The sequence below is a fragment of the Homo sapiens genome, chromosome 12 (assembly GCF_000001405.40).
Source record: "Homo sapiens chromosome 12, GRCh38.p14 Primary Assembly".
In the NCBI taxonomy this organism is placed as follows: domain Eukaryota; kingdom Metazoa; phylum Chordata; class Mammalia; order Primates; family Hominidae; genus Homo; species Homo sapiens.
Genome location: NC_000012.12, coordinates 69,678,261 through 69,696,697, shown reverse-complemented (window position 1 = coordinate 69,696,697; position 18,437 = coordinate 69,678,261). Strand labels below are relative to the sequence as shown.

The following is an 18,437-nucleotide window of genomic DNA, read 5'->3' as shown; positions in this document are numbered from 1 at the left end:
GGATATTAATGTAGTTGACTGATAATTATTAAAAGTAAAATAGGTACAGCTATTTTTCCACATGTCAAAACAACCCTTCCAAGCAAGTGTATGCATTGGTATATATCTTGACAAAATATTTTTAGAGGGAAAGTCCTATTAACAACCTCTAATAATTTTTCAGACATGTCATATAATATGATATTATTTTGGCAATTTAGGTAGGTATCACCTAAGCCTTCAGAATATGAAATGGTAAAAGATACAATGGTGTTTCGTGATAATTATCTCATTAGTTCATTTTTACTAATGTGAATTTATTGCTGCTACTTCTGCTAAGAATAGAACAGAATAGCCCTTAGTACAGTTGCAATGTAGCTAGAAATGTTCCTTGGGGCCTCAACTTTTGTTCCAATATCATACTTATACCCCACAACATTTTATGCATATATTTCTTCTAAAGCAGAGGGCTTACATTTATAACAAAAATTATCAGTTCAAGTCATCCTTAAATTTTTAAAGTTCAATTGTAATACCTTATTAAAATAGATCTTTCTATCTTAATCAAAGGTATACCAAGAACTATAGGATGAGTTTGTCAAGAAAATCAAACACATCTATAGAAAAATATAGATGTAGTTTCATTCTCTAAGTCTTTATTAGCTCTATTATAGGTACATAATTATTCCTAACAAAAATTATAAGGAGGAACCAGATTCATTAATTTGATTACATTTATTTCTATTTTTGGAGGAATTTGACAAAATAATTTCTGAAATACTTTCTAGCTATTAAAATTTCTACATCTATTAGCCAAATATTTTTTCTTTGGCCAACTATTAATATGAACCATTTTATTATTAACTAAGTATGAGGCAATTTGTTAAGTGGTTATATATATGTATACATATATTATTTAATCTTTACAATGCCTCTTATATATAGATATTTTTATCCCCACTTACAGATGAGAAAACTGAGACTCAGAGAGTTCAAAAATATGCTCAAAGTCCAAATTCATAAGTGTCAGACTTGGAATTAAAATCTGGCTTTGTCTGACCTTAAAAAAGGTCCATGCTTTCCACATTTAAATCCTCTTTGACCATGTCTATTTGAACATCAGAAACCATTCTGGCTGTAATTGTCATCAGCATAACCCTGATAGACCTCTGCAACAATCTGGTACCTCTCCTGTCAGCTTTCCCTGACTTCAGTAATTCTAACACCTCTTCCAAAGCTGGGGCAGGAACTCCAAGCTCACCCTGTACCCCACACACCTTCTTTGTCAGGACCAGCTCCCAACAGCTCTCTATCTGCAATCTAATTGGTTGCTTACTGTTATCTCATTATCCCTTTGCTTCCTTTATCAAAGTTCTACTGACCCAAATGAGCCTTTGATGCTTGTTATAATGGATCTTTCCTTGAGTTCCTTCCTCCTTTGGAACAGCTACACTCGTCGATTTATTCAAATTCATCTGTTTGGCTTTCCTTCCTGTATTTTGGTCATTATTATTAGTTTGCCTTAAAACATTTCTCCAGACTCTGAATCTCTTCCCTATAATGTAAATATCAATAATAGTCTCATTAAATGCACTTATGTTTAACAATACCAGAAAATGGGGTTTGGGCAGGTTGGGTTAGATCTATAATATAAATTTTGAGAGAGTGACTAAATTTAATAATGAAAGTTTTCATTTCTCATTGTTAAATTTGTTTTAGACTCCAAACAATTCTGGGCTTTAAAATGAACAGTTATAATATCCCTTGAAGGGATATTATACACATGATAATCAAGAATGTGCTAAGTTGCATATTCAGGAGAAATATCAAGGTGTCAAATTCAGTGTTATTATTTAACAATTACTTAATAATGCTAATTCATACTTAATCAATAATACACTCTTTTTAAGGTATTCCTGATGAATAATTGAAAACTGAACTATTTTGTAACATACCTTGCTCTAAATCCAATGAATCAATCATATAAAACTTTTAAAATATAAAGTTTTTAAAATAAAATGATTAATTAATCCCACTATTTAATAGCCAATCATGTTTACAAAATGTTAGCACTTGAGACATTAAGCAATTAAAAAGCTTTTGAGACACATCAGTTTAAGAAAAAAGGAAAAAATTATTGATCCTTCAAAAATAAAAGATTATTTGTGCTTAATTGTTTGCACTTAATGTCACTTGCAAAGCAGGTGCAGAAGTATAATATCATAAAGGGCTGTGCATTTTATTTTTGCTCCAGATTGTTACTTACAGGAGTCCAAAAACGTTACTTTGAAAAATTATCAATTTACTGTGACAGATATGCTGAACAAATTCCAGTAACCTTTGTGCTTGGTAAGTATAGGTCACACGCAGATTGCAGCCACATAGCTGTCTCCGTTAGGATGACACCGATGACTCTGCATGGGAGTGTTTCCAAGCTGAGAGGCATGCCTGAAAAGCCACCGCTTGCAATAGAACCAGAATCATCCATAAGGTTTGCCTTCACGGCTGCTTTTGCGAAATTAACACCAAACAAGTTTGAGGAAATAATCTGCTATTGGACATTTAAGCTTTCTCTTCACTAACTCTCCATTTTTGCAGTCAATATTTGAGATCTAATACCCACTTACAGGGTGCTTAGGCATTGCCAGGCACAAATGACATTTTTTTTCTGGAAGGCAAAATCAGAAGATATGGATAATAATATATTTTTGTCCTCCAACCTCTAAAAAGGCTAAAATTCAGCTAAAAGCATCAGTGTCACCAACGTGTCTGCTGTAAGAAACTGCTTTATAATTTCCTGTTATTCTACAGGGTTTTATGTTACTCTGGTAGTGAACCGATGGTGGAACCAGTTTGTGAATTTGCCCTGGCCAGACAGGCTAATGTTCCTCATCTCTAGCAGTGTTCACGGAAGCGACGAGCACGGGCGCCTGCTTAGAAGGACGCTGATGCGCTACGTCAATCTCACCTCCCTGCTCATCTTTCGCTCGGTGAGCACTGCTGTGTACAAAAGATTTCCCACAATGGACCACGTGGTTGAAGCAGGTACTATGAATGGCTTTTCCTTCCATGGGCTCTTCTCAGCTGAGACAGGACCTCCAGAATTCCTTTGAAAATTCTTTATGTTTGTTTATTCACTCAAGAAACATTTATTGGTTGGGCGCGGTGGCTCATGCCTGTAATCCCAGCACTTTGGAAGGTGGAGGCGGGCGGATCATCTGAGGTCAGGAGTTTGAGACCAACCTGGCCAACATGGCGAAACCCCATCTCTACTAAAAATAGAAAAAATTAGCCGGGCGTGGTGGCGTGTGCCTGTAATCCCAGCTACTGGGGAGGCTGAGGCATGAGAATCACTTGAACCCGGGAGGCGGAGGCAGAGGTTGCAGTGACCCGAGATTGCAGCACTGCACTCCAGCCTGGGCCACAGAGCCAGACCTGTCTCAAAAAAAAAAAAAGAAAAAAGAAAAAAAAAAGAGAGAGAGAGAGAAAGAAAAGGAAAGAAAAGAAAAAGAAACATTTATTGATTACCTACTATGTGCCAGAAGCAAACTAAGAGACAAAGATGAATAAGACATGGTTCCTGCCCTCAAGTTTACTTCAGAGGTGGGGGAGAGAAAGTGGCAGATAGTAACGTTGCCTTAAGGTAAACATAATAATTATCATATTTATTAAACAATCTGGCTGGGCGAGCTGTTTGGAAGGCCCAGGCGGGTGGATCACCTGAGGTCAGGAGTTCCAGACAAGCCTGGCCAACATGGTGAAACCCTGTCTCTACTAAAAATACAATAATTAGCTGGGCTTGCTGGCTCCCACCTGTAATTCCCGCTACTCGGGAGGCTGAGGCAGGAGAATCGCTTGAACCTGGGAAGTGGAGGTTGCAGTGAGCCAAGATCATGCCATTGCATTCCACCCTGGGCGACAAGGTCCCCATCAGTCCCCAAAAAATAAATAAATAAAAATAATCTGTCACATTAACTTACAGTTTTCCAGCACTATACGGTTTGTCTCCTTTATAGCTATTTCATTTGGACTTCAAGAAAACATGAAAAAGGTAGAAAATAGATTCAGAAAGGTTATAACCTGCCCTGAATTACACAGCTGATCAGTGGAAAAGCCAGAATTAAAATTTAGGCTCCAAACTCCTAAGTTAATACTTTCTAATAGATTCTGGTAGGAACTGGCAATGTCAGTTTCATCTAGGCAGACACTGAGAGGTGACAGTCAAAAGCTGTTTTAGTATGGACCTCTTGTCTCTTGTGCCTCAAAGGAGATGTAGATAGTTAAAGGATGATTCTCTTTGGTGTATAAATATTTAGCAAAGAAGCTGTTAAGTCAGCCTTCAGTAGGGCGAGGATTACATGAGATAATTCTTGGCACATATGGATGAGAAGCGTGAGGTGATTCTGCCTTCACATTGAGTCCAGTCTCACATTAGTTTGCAGTATTTAGTCTCCTTTTCTGAAATGTCCTGAAAAATAGATATTTTCGGATTTTGTTTGTTTTGGAGTTTGTGTTGGCTTCTTTTGTTGTTGTTGTTTTTGTTTTGCCTTCTTAAATGGCTAATACAGATAGTAACTACTGAAGTCAAAATAAAACTGTAGAGATGAATGTCTATATTTCACATTTTATTTGAGAAGAAAGAACTCCAGTTTGAGGCATACACACAGACCAGATGGTATTCAGTATGTCCAAAATACAAAGAGAAGGTTGGAGGTTTTATAAAAAGACAGAAATGTTACATATTGCTCTTTGAGAAAGTTCATTGGCACTAGTAAGTTTCTGGGGAGCTGGCAAGTTTTGACTGGTGAGTGATGGAGGTGGGTAAAATTAGTCTTCAAGTTGCAGCAGATCATTTCAGCAACTATAAAACTGGTTTCAGGTAATAGCAGGCAGTTTCAGCAACCAGGCCTGCAAAGAATATTTTTTTTGAGACAGAGTCTTGCTCTGTGGCCAGGCTGGAGTGAAGTGGCGCTATCTTGGCTCACTGCAATCTCTGCCTCCTGGGTTCAAGCGATTCCCCTGCCTCAGACTCCCGAGCAGCTGGGACTACAGGCGCACACCACCACGCCTGGCTAATTTTTTGTATTTTAGTAGAGACAGGGTTTCACCATGTTGGCAGGATGGTCTCAATCTCTTGACCTTGTGATCCGCCCACCTCGGCCTCCCAAAGTGCTGGGATTACAGGCGTGAACCACCATGCCTGGCCTCAACTGCTTTTTCCTGGTGGCTTCTTGACTCTGTTTTAGTTGGGTACGACAAGAATGACCCAATTATGTTATCAAATTTCACAATGATTAAGAACACGGAGTAAGGGTTTGAAACTTTATCTCACAGCTTACTAGCTACATGACTTTGTCTGAGTTAGTTAACCATTCTGTTCCTCAGTTTCCTTATCCATAAAATGGACTTAAAGTAACTTATAATAGCACCTACCTCATATATCCCATAGGCTTGTTATGAGGATTAAAAAAGTTAGCATTTGCAAAATGTTTAGAGCATTCCTGGCACACAGTAAGTGCTGCATAATTTCTTGCCATTGTAATGAAATTACATCTCAAACAACAGCATAACATAGCACAGTAGCCACTTTAGAAGACTTGTTATTAATATAATATCCCAGGTCTTTTTTATCTACTTTGATCAAGAGGTTGTGAATGTCAAGGTTGAAATAAGGAAGAAGGGTGTAGATGATGTTGTTAGAGACGCAGAGTGAGATATGAGAAAGTAATGGGTGCCAGGAGTTGGTTAAGGGGGATTCAGGGGGAGGGTCTGAAGGCCTGGCACATGTACAGGTATATGATAATGTAAAATCAGTAGGAACTTTAAAAAAAAATTAATTGCCATCCTTCCTCCAAATATGAAAGTAGAATACTGTTTCAGAATGACCTAGTTAAAAATGCTACTAGACAGCTCAATTTTATCTTACCTTAATGTCTCCAGGAACAAATAGATTAAGAATTACCGTCTCTAAGAAAGACCTAAAAACAAACAAGAAACGTATGACCTATTCCAAGTTGATGAGCTAAAGTTTACTTGGATGAACAGAGGTGATATTTCTCTAGTTCTGACGCATCCTTGAAATGAAGAGAGTGCATTCTGACAGGAATCAGATGCCGGGTCCAATCCTCAAAGCAAATCTCATCTTCTTAGTGTCACCTTCATATTAAAAGCACACCAGGAAGAAGCCAGGTTGGCTGGCAATGGAGAGGCCTCTGGGGCCTCTGGTCAGACATGAGCTCCGAGGACTGAGCTGTGCTCAGGTCTGAGGGGCAAGTAGATATAGGGAGGCAAATAGGAAAATGACGTGATTTCATTTCCTTTGAGTGTATTTTTCAGAATACAAAGGCCCACTCCCTCTCAAAATTGTACAGATGTCTGCCATGTACTTGCATTCAGACTTTTCCCTTTCCGAGGCATGTGGAATACTGAAATACTTCTATCTGCTCAGCTACCAATGTTTCTGCCATTCCAAGGGAATCTCAAAATGAGTCCTTCACTTCTGGATGTACATTTAAACTAGTCTCTAGGAGTGATCCACAGACCCACAGGCCCTCTACATCTTGAATAACTTGAGTTTATTTATTTAAAATGCATATTCCTGGGTCCCACCCACGTCAGTCCCTCTGAATTATTATAGAACCTAATAGAACCTTTGGATGTACGGCCTAGGAATCTGCAGTGAAACATGCTCCTGTGTTGGTTTTTTTAGTACCCCAAAGTTTGAGAAGTATTGCATCTTTTCTGGGATGCTTATTTTTTAAACCCTTTTTCTCACTCCTGGGGCAAAAGGCTTTGGCAACCACCAACTCATTACTGATAACAAAGCAGCAGCAATTAAGAAAGGATGGATTCGAGGTTTCAGCTTGAGGGTCATGAATTACAAAGAAGAGCTTTGAGGAAGCAGTCTGGTGGGAGGCTACTGTATAAGGGATCTGAATTCCACCTGCTTGGATGTAACAAGCATTGTTCTGACTTAAACTTTTTGGTTGGTTTGTCTGAAGCGGATGAAGGGAGAAGAGAATTGACAGAGGAGCTGTGATGAGGTGAAAGCCTTTCCAAGGGTCCTGTGACACAATCACTGATTATCTCAGTGAAAAGGTCCCAGTTGCTCTCATTAATTCCTAAGTATTTTCTCAAAAGGCAGAAAAGAGGTAGTAGGTACATCTTGTCCCCACAGGAATATATTGTGCTTCTGGTAAGTAATTTTGAAGATAACTACTTTCTTCTCTTGGTGCTTGTAAATACTGGATAAGATGTTTTGATTCAGTATAAGACCATACTATACGCAAGCATTGTGTGTTAGGCGGCAGGGCAAAGGTTCCAAGCCACTATCCTCTAAGCCAGGAGAGACGCTTCGGAGGCCTGTCTTCCTGGCTGCCCCAGGCCGGCACCCGCTGTCACCGGCAGCGCTGACTCACTGAACTTCCTGCTGCTTTCCCCAGCAGAGAGGGCTGACTCAGAGTCTGCACATGGGGTCTGCTTCCAAGTTCTTCCAACTGGGCATATGCCTCCGCCACTCTCTGACTGTCCTTTGCCTGTGCCAAGGTTTCTGGGAAGAACAGGAAGTTCAGGGATGGCGGAAAATGTTTGGCAGATTCCCTGAGTCCAAAGCCGGAGCACCTGCTCCTGCCTGAGGGCAGAGAGGACTGGTAAGTAAAGCACTGAGGGCCCCAAAGGGGTGGGGACAAGGTTAAGGGCACGAGGGACCTTCTTGTCAGTTGAATTCTCTACATAAAATCACCTGTAAGAAAAAGTACATGTTCTCAAACTTCAGGGTGCATTACATATTGTTAAAATCAATATTGCTAAAAATTTGGATCCCACGATACCACTCCCAGAGATTCTGACTCAGTAGGTCTGGAATGGGCTCCAGGAATCAATGAGTTGAACAAACTCCTGGAGACTCTGAGGCTGGTGGTCCCTGGCTTGTGCTCTGGGAAGCAATGGGCTTTGAGGCAATCAGTTTCCCTCCAGCTTCTCTTTCTTCTGCAAGGGTTTTTGCCTCCATAGATTCAGTGCTGGCCAGAAGGAAATAAGCGAGAGGGCCAAGAGTGAGGACCAGCACCTCCTTCTGAAGCATCTGGCAATTTCTTGGCTGGCGCTGGTTGAACTAGGTCACATACCTGCTCATCCTTGAACTTCTCTTGCTTTTAAGTTGGACAGTCAAGTTACATTATTCTGAAAAATAACAAGACCAAAACACATGCTGCTGGGGAAATATATATAATTTGATGCTACAGGTTAAATTTCTCAAATTAAAAATAAAAAAGTTTTTGTTTCTGCTTATATGAAAATAAAAATACAACAGTGGAATTCGGAATAATGTCTATTATGCTGAAAAGTCCCTGAACTGGTCTGTGATCAGTTATTTATCAGAGAAACTGCAACAGTCTCTGTTACTTTTGCCTATTGGCTACAAATCTGCTCTGGAAAATTCCAGTCATTCCAATCACCTGCCCTGGGAGATGTCATTCATTCCAAGTCAAGTCAGATGCACAATTCCAGATCCTGGCTGAGTCAAGTGATGACCTTAGTTGTGTGCATATAGTATGGTCTCATACTGAATCAAAACATCTTATCTAGTATTTACAAGCATCAGGAGAGGAAAGTAGTTATCTTCAAAATTACTTACCAGAAGCACAATGATATGTAATAGGAAATTATATACATTCCTCTTAAAGAAACATTACCAAGCTGGTGCTAGAACTATTACGCCTTTGCTCATGCAACAAAGGTTTATTGTGTGTACAATATATGCCAGGCACTGTGCTGGGCACTGGGACTACCCTTATAAGCAGAACAAATATGGTCCCCATACTCAAGGATTAGTAAAATTTACTACAAATCTTATCTTAAATTAATCATTGTCATAAACAAGCACAAATATATTTACAGTTAAACTTTACATCTCTGCATTGCAATTCTCTCTCTCTAAAATAAATAGTTTCTGTCTGTATTTAGTAGTTCATAAGAGTAGTTATAAGACAGTAACCTCTGAGGAAAAAAACACCCTTTAATTTTCTTAAAGCCTTGGAGTCTTTTTTTTTTTTTTTTTGAGACACGTTCTCACTCAGTTGCCCAACCTGGAGTGCAGTAGCACGGTCATAGCTTACAGTAACCTCAAACTTCTGGGCTCAAGCCATCCTCCTGCCTCAGCCTTTTGAGCAACTAGGACTACAGATGTGCGCCGCTGTGCCTGGCCAATTTACTTATTTATTTGTTTAATCCCTTTTTTTCCTTTTTTTCTTTTTTGATACAGAGTCTCACTATGTTGCCTATGCTGGTCTTGAACTCCTGGCCTCAAGCAATCTTCCCACCATAGCCTCCCAAAGGGCTGGGATTTCTGGTGTGAGCCACCACACCTGGCCTGCCCTGGAATCTTAATGTAAAGATTCTTGACTGTCTTCTATGACTACAGGGAGCCTGATGAGACTCCACTGGAATTTTCAGTGACACTTATGGTTAACAGACATTAATATAACCAAGCAAGCCACCAGCTGTCAATGGATGTTGAGATAAAAGTTCTAACTTCAGATGCTCTGGCTCTAAGTCTAGCCCTATAAATGGAACTCAGGTCTGGGTCACTTACTGCTTAAAAGCCAAACAACTCAGGAACTTTGGTAAAAGGAACGTTAGCTTTATTTGAGAAGTCAGCAACCAGGGGAAGGCAGTGAACTGGGTTGAAAGGCCACCTTTCAGAATTGTGCCTCTAGGTAAAGGATTTCTAAGGGAAATTAAGAGAAATGAAGATCAAAACAGTCTTGTGAAATGTGAGCAGTTTCAGTCAGCTGGGCAGTTAATCATTGCTTTCTTGGTGAAAGTTTTGCGACCTTCTGCAGGTGCCATCAGCCTATTCTTACAGGCTAGTCAGCCCATTCCCAGAGCTGTTGGTCAGCATATTTTCCTTCTTTCTTTTTTTCTTTTCTTTCTTTTTTTTTTGTTTTTTTGAGGCAGAATCTTGCTCTGTTGCCCAGGCTGGAGTATAGTGTTGAAATCTTGGCTCACTGCAACCTCTGCCTCCCCAGTTCAAGTGCTTCTTCTGCCTCAGCTGCCCAAGTAGCTGGGATTACAGGCACAGGCCACCACACCCGGCTAATTTTTGTATTTTTAGTAGAGACAGGGTTTCACCATATTGGCCAGGCTGGTCTCGAACTCCTGGCCTCAAGTGATCCCACCTCGGCCTCTCAAATTACTGGGATTACAGGCGTGAGCCACCGAGCCCAGCCAGCATATTTTCTTTTATCTCTGTTGAAGGTCCTGTTTTCTTGAGGCTGTTTTTTGGGACTAATGTACAAACTCAAGGAAAACAATAATATTATTCAAACAAGCAAGCTTTTCTCTAACATGGAATTAATACTGTTAGAACCACATTTGCGTTTCTGGCACAGACAGATCATTTAATCTGTGATCTTCTCCTCTCTCACTAGGTAAACTAAAATGACTTTTATATAACATATTATGTAACATTCACAAAATTAATTGAATCTGGTATAACATTTCTGCCCTGGGTGGGCTGTTTGTTTTTTTTTTTTTCCTGATCCATTACACAGCTCTGGGGTTCCTTGGTCTCTGAATCTCCACTGCCTTGTGTTACAAGAGTGAGAGCCAAGGGGATAGTGGTATTCACAGCTGTGCCAGTTTTTCCTCTGTTGGCTGAACTTTTAGAGGCTGAGTAAGTCACCCCTCTGTAGTCTCACATGATGAGCCCGGAACAGACAGAATGTCATCCTGTGAGTGAAACTTGACTCACCTATGTGTAGTTGCTCTGCACATGAGAGAAAGTGCATGCAAAACTAGCCCTTCTTGAATTAATAGCATGGATAGGCAGTGTCGGTTGGTCAGTGTTTGAAGGTTCCCCCCACATTTCTGTCTCAGGAGTTAAATAAAGGCTATCCACTCAATGTTTCTCAAAGTATGGTTGCAGACCACATTCACTGATTAGCCAGGGTGCTTATTTAAACTGCAGATTCCTAGGCAACCTAGGGAATCAGAATCTAGATCTAGGGCTTAGGACCTAGAAATTGACATTTTAAACAGGCTCCCTAGAAGCACTGCAGGATGTTTGACCCAGACTGAGAATGCTGAAATGATCAGCACTAGGGCAGTTGTTCAACCTAAACTTTGCTGCATGTTGGAATCTCTGGTGATCTTTTAAAAATTCTGACGCCTGACTCCCATTCTCAGATATTAGGATTCATTAGGTATGTAGAGCAACCTGGGCATCAGGATTTTTCAAAACTCCCCAGACCATTGTAATGTATAGCAGAGTTTAGGAACAGCTGCACTAGAACACATCAATTAATTCCTCCGATTTCATCTGCAAATTGCCTCAGATCTATTCTACCCAGGGCAAATAAAATTCTGGGCCACTGTGCAGATGAGGATTTAAAAGCACTGATTTCTTTGTATGTTATTTCTTGTGTGTGATTATGGAGAAGGCAGTGAATTACCAGATGGGATACTAATTTATGGACAAGGATATGGGTAACTAGAGATTTGCTCATATCAATATAATAGAGGAGTGTCTGTCTCTATTCCTTATTGCTACTCCCAGAAACTGATTTTACTCCACCGTAGCCTATTTCAGGCTTTTCCAGCTGTGGTTTGTAACTCATTATGGGATTCTTAAATCAGGTTAACGGGTTGTAACCAGCATTTTTAGTGGAATGGAATGGAGAACAATAGAATAGAATAGAATAGAATAGAATAGAATAGAATAGAATAGAATAGAATAGAACAGCAGAAAGCACATCATGTGGCAGGGCCAATAACTGTTTTGTGAACAACATATATCTTACTATGGTTTATGGTAAAAAAACAAACAAACGAAAAAACCTGGTTGACATCCTGCCCTGCATGATGTTGTTGCAATGTGATTTCATCCCTCTCTCAATCTCATTTTGCTCCCCCCTTGATTTTCCCAATTGACAGGGATTTCTAAACCTCTTCCATTGAATGGAAAGGACAGCTGTAGCTGAAGCTGGTGGCTTCATTCCATTCATTTGGAAAACACAGAGATAAAAACAAGCCAGGCACGTTGCACTCTTCCTGAAAAAGTGTCATCCCTTGGAGAAGGGCTCAGATGCTGAATACACAACTCTCTCTTTCAGAAAGAACTGGCATGAAACCCATTCTGCCTTCAAGTTTTGAGATGCAGAGCTTTTAGTTCCTCTGCTAATAGAGCCTCGTTTGAATACTCTGCTTGAAAGGCAAAAGACATCTGCCTCAACTTCAATCAAGGAAAAATAGAGCAACTGTACAGCAGGCAGAATCTCTATGATGACTGGAATTTTGTCTATCAATGGATGTAATTAATCCTTTGGCTCGAGGGCAATAAAATTTTGTCTTAAAGTAGCAGATCCTGCTCCATCAAACCACAACTCAATTGGGAGTAAATGCAAACATGTATCTATATTGAGAGATAGATTTTACTCTGATTAGAAAGATGAAGGAGGGATTTGGGGATAAACAATATGAAAATTGCTGAGCAGAGCTGAGCCAGCCAGAAGAAAAAGCGATAGCAAGAGAAACTGTAGGCAGATGCAACGGCAGGATAAAATAGCTATGCCAGGGGTGTGATGGGGCCTGAGGAGAGCATGGCATGGAGACAGACACGTGCAGGGAACCAAGTGGTGGGAGGACAAGCCCACTCAGAGTGTTGCCGAACTGTAGCAAATCAGTAACTATAATTAGCACAGCCTCAGCAATGACAATAATGATCATATTCTGAAAAAAATATTGGTCTCTGCTTAAAATGGCTTGAAGTCCTGATGAGGGTGACATTCCATTTCATAACAAATACTTTTGGAATGGACTTGACCAACAACCTAGAGATTTTCTTTCAGTTGACCGACTTTGATTTCCAAAGGTGGAGTTACTTTTGTGAACCCCCAAAATCTGAGACAGGTCTCAGTTAATTTAGAAAGTTTATTTTGCCAAGGTTGAGGATGTGCACCCGTGACACAGCCTCAGGTGGTCCTGATGACGTGTGCCCAAAGCGGTCAGAACAGTTTGGTTTTATGCATTGTAGGAAGACATGAGACATCGATCAACATATGTAAGATAAACATTGGTTCAGTCTGGAAAAGCCAGAGATGACTCAAAGTGGGGAGGGGGCTTCCGGGTCATAGGTAGGTAAGAGACAAATGGTTGCATTCTTCTGGGTTTCTGATTAGTCTCTCCAAAGGAGGCAATCAGATATGCATTTATCTCAGTGAATGGAGCAATGACTTTAATAGAATGGGAGGCATGTATGCCGTAAGCAGTTCCCAACTTGACTTTTCCCTTTAGCTTAGTGATTTTGGGGACCCAAGATATTTTCCTTTCACACTTTGGATAAGTAAGATGTGTGACCCTGCAAGGAATAACAAAAATTATTCTGCTTATATATTCTTAGAGGATACATTAATGTCTCAGTGATTGTCATTCATCTTTCACAGCACCCAGCAAAATACTCAATAAATTTGTGCTAAAAACAAAATCACCAGCTCTTCTTGCTCTACTTGTCCTCTTTCAATCTCTTGCTTTAGTGTTTGCACCAAATAAACCCTCACTCTGCATATTTGCTTTCTGCTTAGAAGCTAAGAAAGGACTTGCTAGCACAATTTGATCCATGCTTCTGAATAAAAAATAACCAGAGATAAAGTTATTCTTTGGTCAAGTGACAGAGATTGAAGCCAATATATAAATGAGATCATTTTTTAAAATTGCACTATATGTCTCAAGAATATAACTGTTAGACAATTGATATGGAATATGTGAGAATAGGCTACAGCAAGTCTTTAAGCATAAAGCCAAGACAGATCAAGTTTATCTATTAACTTCATCCAATAAGATTTAACTGGCCAGGCACAGTGGCACATAGCTGTAATCCCAGCACTTTGGGAGGCCAAGGTGGGCAGATCACTTGAGCCCAGGAAGTTCAAGACCAGCCTGGCAACATGGTGAAACCCAGTCTCTACAAAAAATACAAAAATTAGCCCAGCATAGTGGCATGCGCCAGTAGACCCAGCTACTCAGGAGGCAGAGGTGGAAGGATTGCTTGAGCCCAGGAGGTTGAGGCTGCAGTGAGCCAAAGATCACACCACTGCACTCCAGTCTGGATGACAGACGGAGACTCTGTCCCATTAAAAATTGAAAAAAAAAATTTAATCATGCTCTGCAATTCTTTAAAAAACAAACAACAAAACAGATTTTTTAGATTGTGCAACAACTCTGAGATGCACTGAGAAACAAGAAGAGAATCACCAAGCTCATTTTTATTTTACACTTCCAGGGAGAGTACCATTCTCCAGGCATGGAGAGAACCCTTCTAAGCTAGTATAAATAACCCAAGTGTTATCTAAAACTAGTCTCCTGTTGGTAAATATTGGCTTTGTAGTTGTTACTTTGTTTATTTCAAATCCTGAATAAACAGAACCTTCAGTTAGTGGGACAGTGATTTTCAAACACCACTATGTGTCAGAATTTTCTGCACAGCTTGGTAAATATGCAACTGCCTAGACCCAATTCTATTAAATCACCCAGGAAAATTTAAAAGAATGCTGATGCCTGGCCTCATCCTAGATCAATTGAATCAGAATCTCTAAGGATATAAGACCCAGCCATTGGTATTTTCTTCTTTTTTTTTTTTTTTTTGAGACGGAGTCTCACTCTGTCACCCAGGCTGGAGTGCAATGGCACAATCTCGGCTCACTGCAACCTCTGCATTCCCGGGTTCAAGCAACTCTCCTGCCTCAGCCTCCCAAGCAGCTGGGATTACAGGTCCCTACCACTACACCCGGCTAATTTTTGTAATTTTAGTAGAGACTGGGTTTCACCATGTTGGTCAGGCTGGTCTCGAACTCCTGACCTCAAGTGATCCACCCGCCTCGGCCTCCCAAAGTGCTGGGATTACAGGCGTGAGCCACCACGCCTTGCTGCCATTGGTATTTTCTAAAAGTCCCCTTATGAGATTCTAAGGTGCAGACTTGGGTTGAGAACTCCTGCCCTACTGAGTCTGATTTAGTAGTCAGGGTCGGGGTCCAGGCCTCTCCATATTTAATAGATATCACAGGTGATTCAGACCTATGGCCTTTGGATCTTATTCTTAAGAACAACGGCCTAAGTCACATCAAAGATCTAGAGAACACCAAAGCTCTATAAATTGATGACTCTAAAAATGGGCATACCTCACTCCTCCTTTGACATTTTTTTTACTGAAACACTACCTCTTAAATAAAATTTGGCCTGCATCATAAGGAGGGAGGATTTTTTTAATTTATTTATTAGAGATGAAGTCTTGCTATATTGCCCAGGCTGGTCACAAACTCCTGGCCTAAGTAATCCTCCTGCCTGGGCCTCCCAAAGTGCTGGGATTATAGGCATGAGCCACTGCACCCGGCAAAAGGATTACCTTAAATAGGACAACCAGATTTGTTAACTGATTACAGATGGTTAAAGATAGAAAAATGTGTTATATTAGGGCAAAAGTTGATTTTCGTCTGAATGTAGTATCAGAATTCCATAAGCAAATGATTGCATTTCTGAGAAAAAAAAACTCAAAAATTAATATCTAATAAAAATCAGTTTTAGAAGTAAGTTTTAATTCAGAAAACACTATTTATATTAAATCATAATTAACATTTAAAAGCTACTTAAAGAGCCAAGGGGGTAAATACCAGGAGAGTCATTACAGCATTATTTTTAGTAGCAAAAAAATAAAAAACAACTTAAATGTCTTAAATGTCTATTCAAAAAGGAACTAGCTAAATAAAATATTATATACTATTAACTATTAATTAATGTTAATATATAGAGAGCAGCCATTAAAAGGAATGCTGCTGCTCTCTATATATTAATTTTTTAAATCTTCAAGATATACCTGAAAAATAGAAGCAAATGGCAGATACATATGTAGTATAAAATCATTTGTGTTTTTAAAAATAGGCCTGTATGAAAATCCATGAGATTTCTCTGGAAAGATACACAATAAACAGATCATCGTGATTTCCTCCAGGGAGGGAAATTTTATGGCTGGGAAAAGGAGACTTTCTCCACTAACAGTCCTTTGGCCCTTTGGGATTTTTGTACCATTTGAATTATTCAGTCAAAATTTTTAAAAAGAAAAGATCGGCTAGGGGCGGTGGCTCACGCCTGTAATCCCAGCAATTTGGGAGGCCGAGGAGGGCGGATCACGAGGTCAGGAGATTGAGACATCCTGGCTAACATGGTGAAACCCCGTCTCTACTAAAAATACAAAAACTTAGCCGGGCGTGGTGGCAGGTGCCTGTAGTCCCAGCTGCTCGGGAGGCTGAGGCAGGAGAATGGCCTGAACCCTGGAGGCAGAGCTTGCAGTGAGCTGAGATCGCGCCACTGCACTCCAGCCTGGGTGACAGAGCAAGACTCCATCTAAAAAAAAAAAAAAAAAGATCAAGTGTAAACTGTAAGTTTTAAAGTGCATCTTGTTGCAAACAAACCCTGGTATATAGCAGGCCTTCAATAAATGTTTATTAAATAAACCTGTTACCTTATTCCTCTTATTCAGTCATTCAATCTCCCCTTCCCTTGGTGTTTGGGGAGGGAGGAGTAGGCAGAGGAAAATTAAAGTTTCACATAATATACCTTAGTGCTTTGTGGGTGCTAAGTGTGTGCTAAGCGTTATGCTAAATAACATCTTGACACATGTTCATCATCTCAGGTAATTCTACAACATCCCTGTGAAGCAAATATTATCTCTCTTTTACAGATGAGAAAATTGAGGCTCAGAGAGTTCACTGCAAGCCCAAGCAAATTGCATTTTACACACACACACACACACACACACGCATGCATACACACATGCACACACACACACCAAGAAACCCTTTTTTTGGGGCAGGGGAGACAGTCTCGCTCTATAGCCTGGGCTGGAGTGCAGTGGCACGATCTCAGCTCACTGCAACCTCCGCTTCCTGGGTTCAAGCGATTTTCATGCCTGAGCCTCCCCAGCAGCTGGGATTACAGGCGTGTGCCACCATGCCCGGCTAATTTTTGTATTTTTAGTAGAGATGGGGTTTCACCATGTTGGCCAGGCTCGTGTTGAACTCCTGACCTCAAGTGATCCACCCACCTTGGCCTCCCAAAGTGCTGGGATTAAGGGCGTGAGCCACTGCACCCTGCCACAAAGAAACAATTTTAAAGTATGTGCAAAATGCTATGGGGACGATGAACATTAATATACTCTTTGCCCTTCAAAAGGGTCATAGTAAGGGAAACATTTATGTGTAATATTACTATGATGCAAGCCAAGAGCGAGTACCATGTGGGAACTTTAAAGGGAAGAAATCCCTCAGGAAAGAGAAAGAAGGACTCAAGGAAGGCTTCAGAGAGGAGGACATGATTAAGTAGGACTTGGAAAGGAGAGATCAGGAGAAAAGTCATGTGAGTCATGTGTTCGGCACTATGCCAAGTGCTTTATATACGTTATCATATTTTATTATTTTAATCGTAACAATTCCAAGTATTATGGTTCCCAACTTTAGATGACTAAACCAAAACCTAAAGAAGAAATTTCCCCAAATGTTCTAGTTCACATTTAATGTCTCCTTACCTCCTAATGGCCTCCTCTATCAGGGATTTTATATAACTTGTGGGTGTGCATGTATATGTATGTGTGTGTGCATGTGCGCTCACACACACACATTCCTTAACTCTAATGCAAGTATAAACTACTTGAGACAGGAAGCTTTATTCCATATTTCTTTAATATCCCCTCATTATATGCTTTTATATAGATGCTGAAATATGGTAACGTATTAGTGTCAAACTAAGTCTGTATACCTACCGATTTTTATTTTTTTGTAAAGGTTTTATGACAACAGATGAAAGGAAATTATTCAACCACCTCAAGTCTCCTCATCTGAAATATTGGGTTCCATTCATCTGGTTTGGAAATCTTGCAACTAAAGCCCGGAATGAAGGTAGAATCAGAGACAGTGTTGATCTGCAATCATTGATGACTGTAAGTATATCATAAATCATAAGAAAAATACGCTAATTAGAGACCAAGAAGGACCTGGATATAACACGTTAGACCAGGAAGAGTCAGCTTTGTTCAGTCCTGGTTCCAGAGGAACTGGAAAGATTGGACTAGTGTCAGACCTCTCAACATGCAGGACAGAGGTGGTACACAGGTTAAACTCAGGTTGCTTGGAAATGGTTCCTTGGAAGCTGCGTTTTAAACAGAATCATGCTTTGTAATAGGCTCTGTAAGAAAGTATTCCTTGATTGATTAGCCAAGGGTCGCCAAGGGCTCGAAAAGCTATGGTGCCCATGTAGTATATTTGCCATACCTGGCTCCAGGATCCTTGAAAAAAACCTGGAGGAGAAATAAACCTCCCCAGCCTAATATTTCCCCAAAACTGGAATATCGCGAGGTTAAGCCAGCCTTTCAGATACTCTAGTAAGTAAAATAGTATTTTCATTAATCAAAATAACCC

The 18,437-nt window shown here is 40.2% G+C and overlaps 1 protein-coding gene and 1 long non-coding RNA gene across 19 annotated transcripts in view, besides 3 other annotated features; one reads left to right on the top strand and one right to left on the bottom strand.

Annotated features, from left to right (window-relative positions):
* The window catches only part of BEST3 (bestrophin 3), a 55,796-nt gene that overhangs the window by 2,606 nt on the left and 34,753 nt on the right, over window positions 1-18,437 (top strand). For 4 of the 17 annotated variants that reach the window (NM_001282614.2, NM_032735.3, XM_047428380.1 and 1 more), the window contains exons 3-5: window positions 2,234-2,328; window positions 2,791-3,024; window positions 17,805-17,959. In NM_001282614.2, coding sequence (NP_001269543.1) covers window positions 2,234-2,328; window positions 2,791-3,024; window positions 17,805-17,959 — 484 coding nt within the window. Of the gene's footprint in view, window positions 1-2,233; window positions 3,025-7,420; window positions 7,629-12,089; window positions 13,460-17,804; window positions 17,960-18,437 lie in introns of those variants that run through there. The other 13 variants (NM_001282616.2, XM_047428382.1, NM_001282613.2 and 10 more) reach the window with 9 other exon arrangements.
* Window positions 3,044-3,244: a silencer, noted in NCBI's record as "fragment chr12:70087234-70087434 (GRCh37/hg19 assembly coordinates)". NCBI's record gives its function as "represses an EF-1alpha promoter that drives an FKBP-Casp9 reporter gene in an ReSE screen in K562 erythroleukemia cells {active_cell/tissue: K562}" and the evidence as "EXISTENCE:reporter gene assay evidence [ECO:0000049][PMID:32094911]".
* Window positions 6,478-7,046: an enhancer, noted in NCBI's record as "OCT4-NANOG-H3K27ac-H3K4me1 hESC enhancer chr12:70083432-70084000 (GRCh37/hg19 assembly coordinates)". NCBI's record gives its function as "activates a minimal SCP1, AML or CMV promoter by ChIP-STARR-seq in primed H9 embryonic stem cells {active_cell/tissue: H9 hESC(primed)}" and the evidence as "EXISTENCE:reporter gene assay evidence [ECO:0000049][PMID:30033119]".
* Window positions 7,173-8,372: an enhancer, noted in NCBI's record as "BRD4-independent group 4 enhancer chr12:70082106-70083305 (GRCh37/hg19 assembly coordinates)". NCBI's record gives its function as "activates an origin of replication core promoter dependent on BRD2, P300/CBP, MED14 and CDK7 cofactors, and independent of BRD4, by STARR-seq in HCT116 cells {active_cell/tissue: HCT116}" and the evidence as "EXISTENCE:reporter gene assay evidence [ECO:0000049][PMID:35650434]".
* The window catches only part of LOC105369823 (uncharacterized), a 64,494-nt gene continuing 53,678 nt past the window's right edge, over window positions 7,622-18,437 (bottom strand). Inside the window, exons 4-5 of one of the 2 annotated variants that reach the window (XR_007063358.1) lie at window positions 8,103-8,157; window positions 7,622-7,997 (exon numbers count right to left, since the gene is read on the bottom strand). This is a non-coding gene — a long non-coding RNA (uncharacterized LOC105369823). Of the gene's footprint in view, window positions 8,158-18,437 lie in introns of both variants that reach the window. The other variant, XR_007063357.1, reaches the window with a different exon arrangement.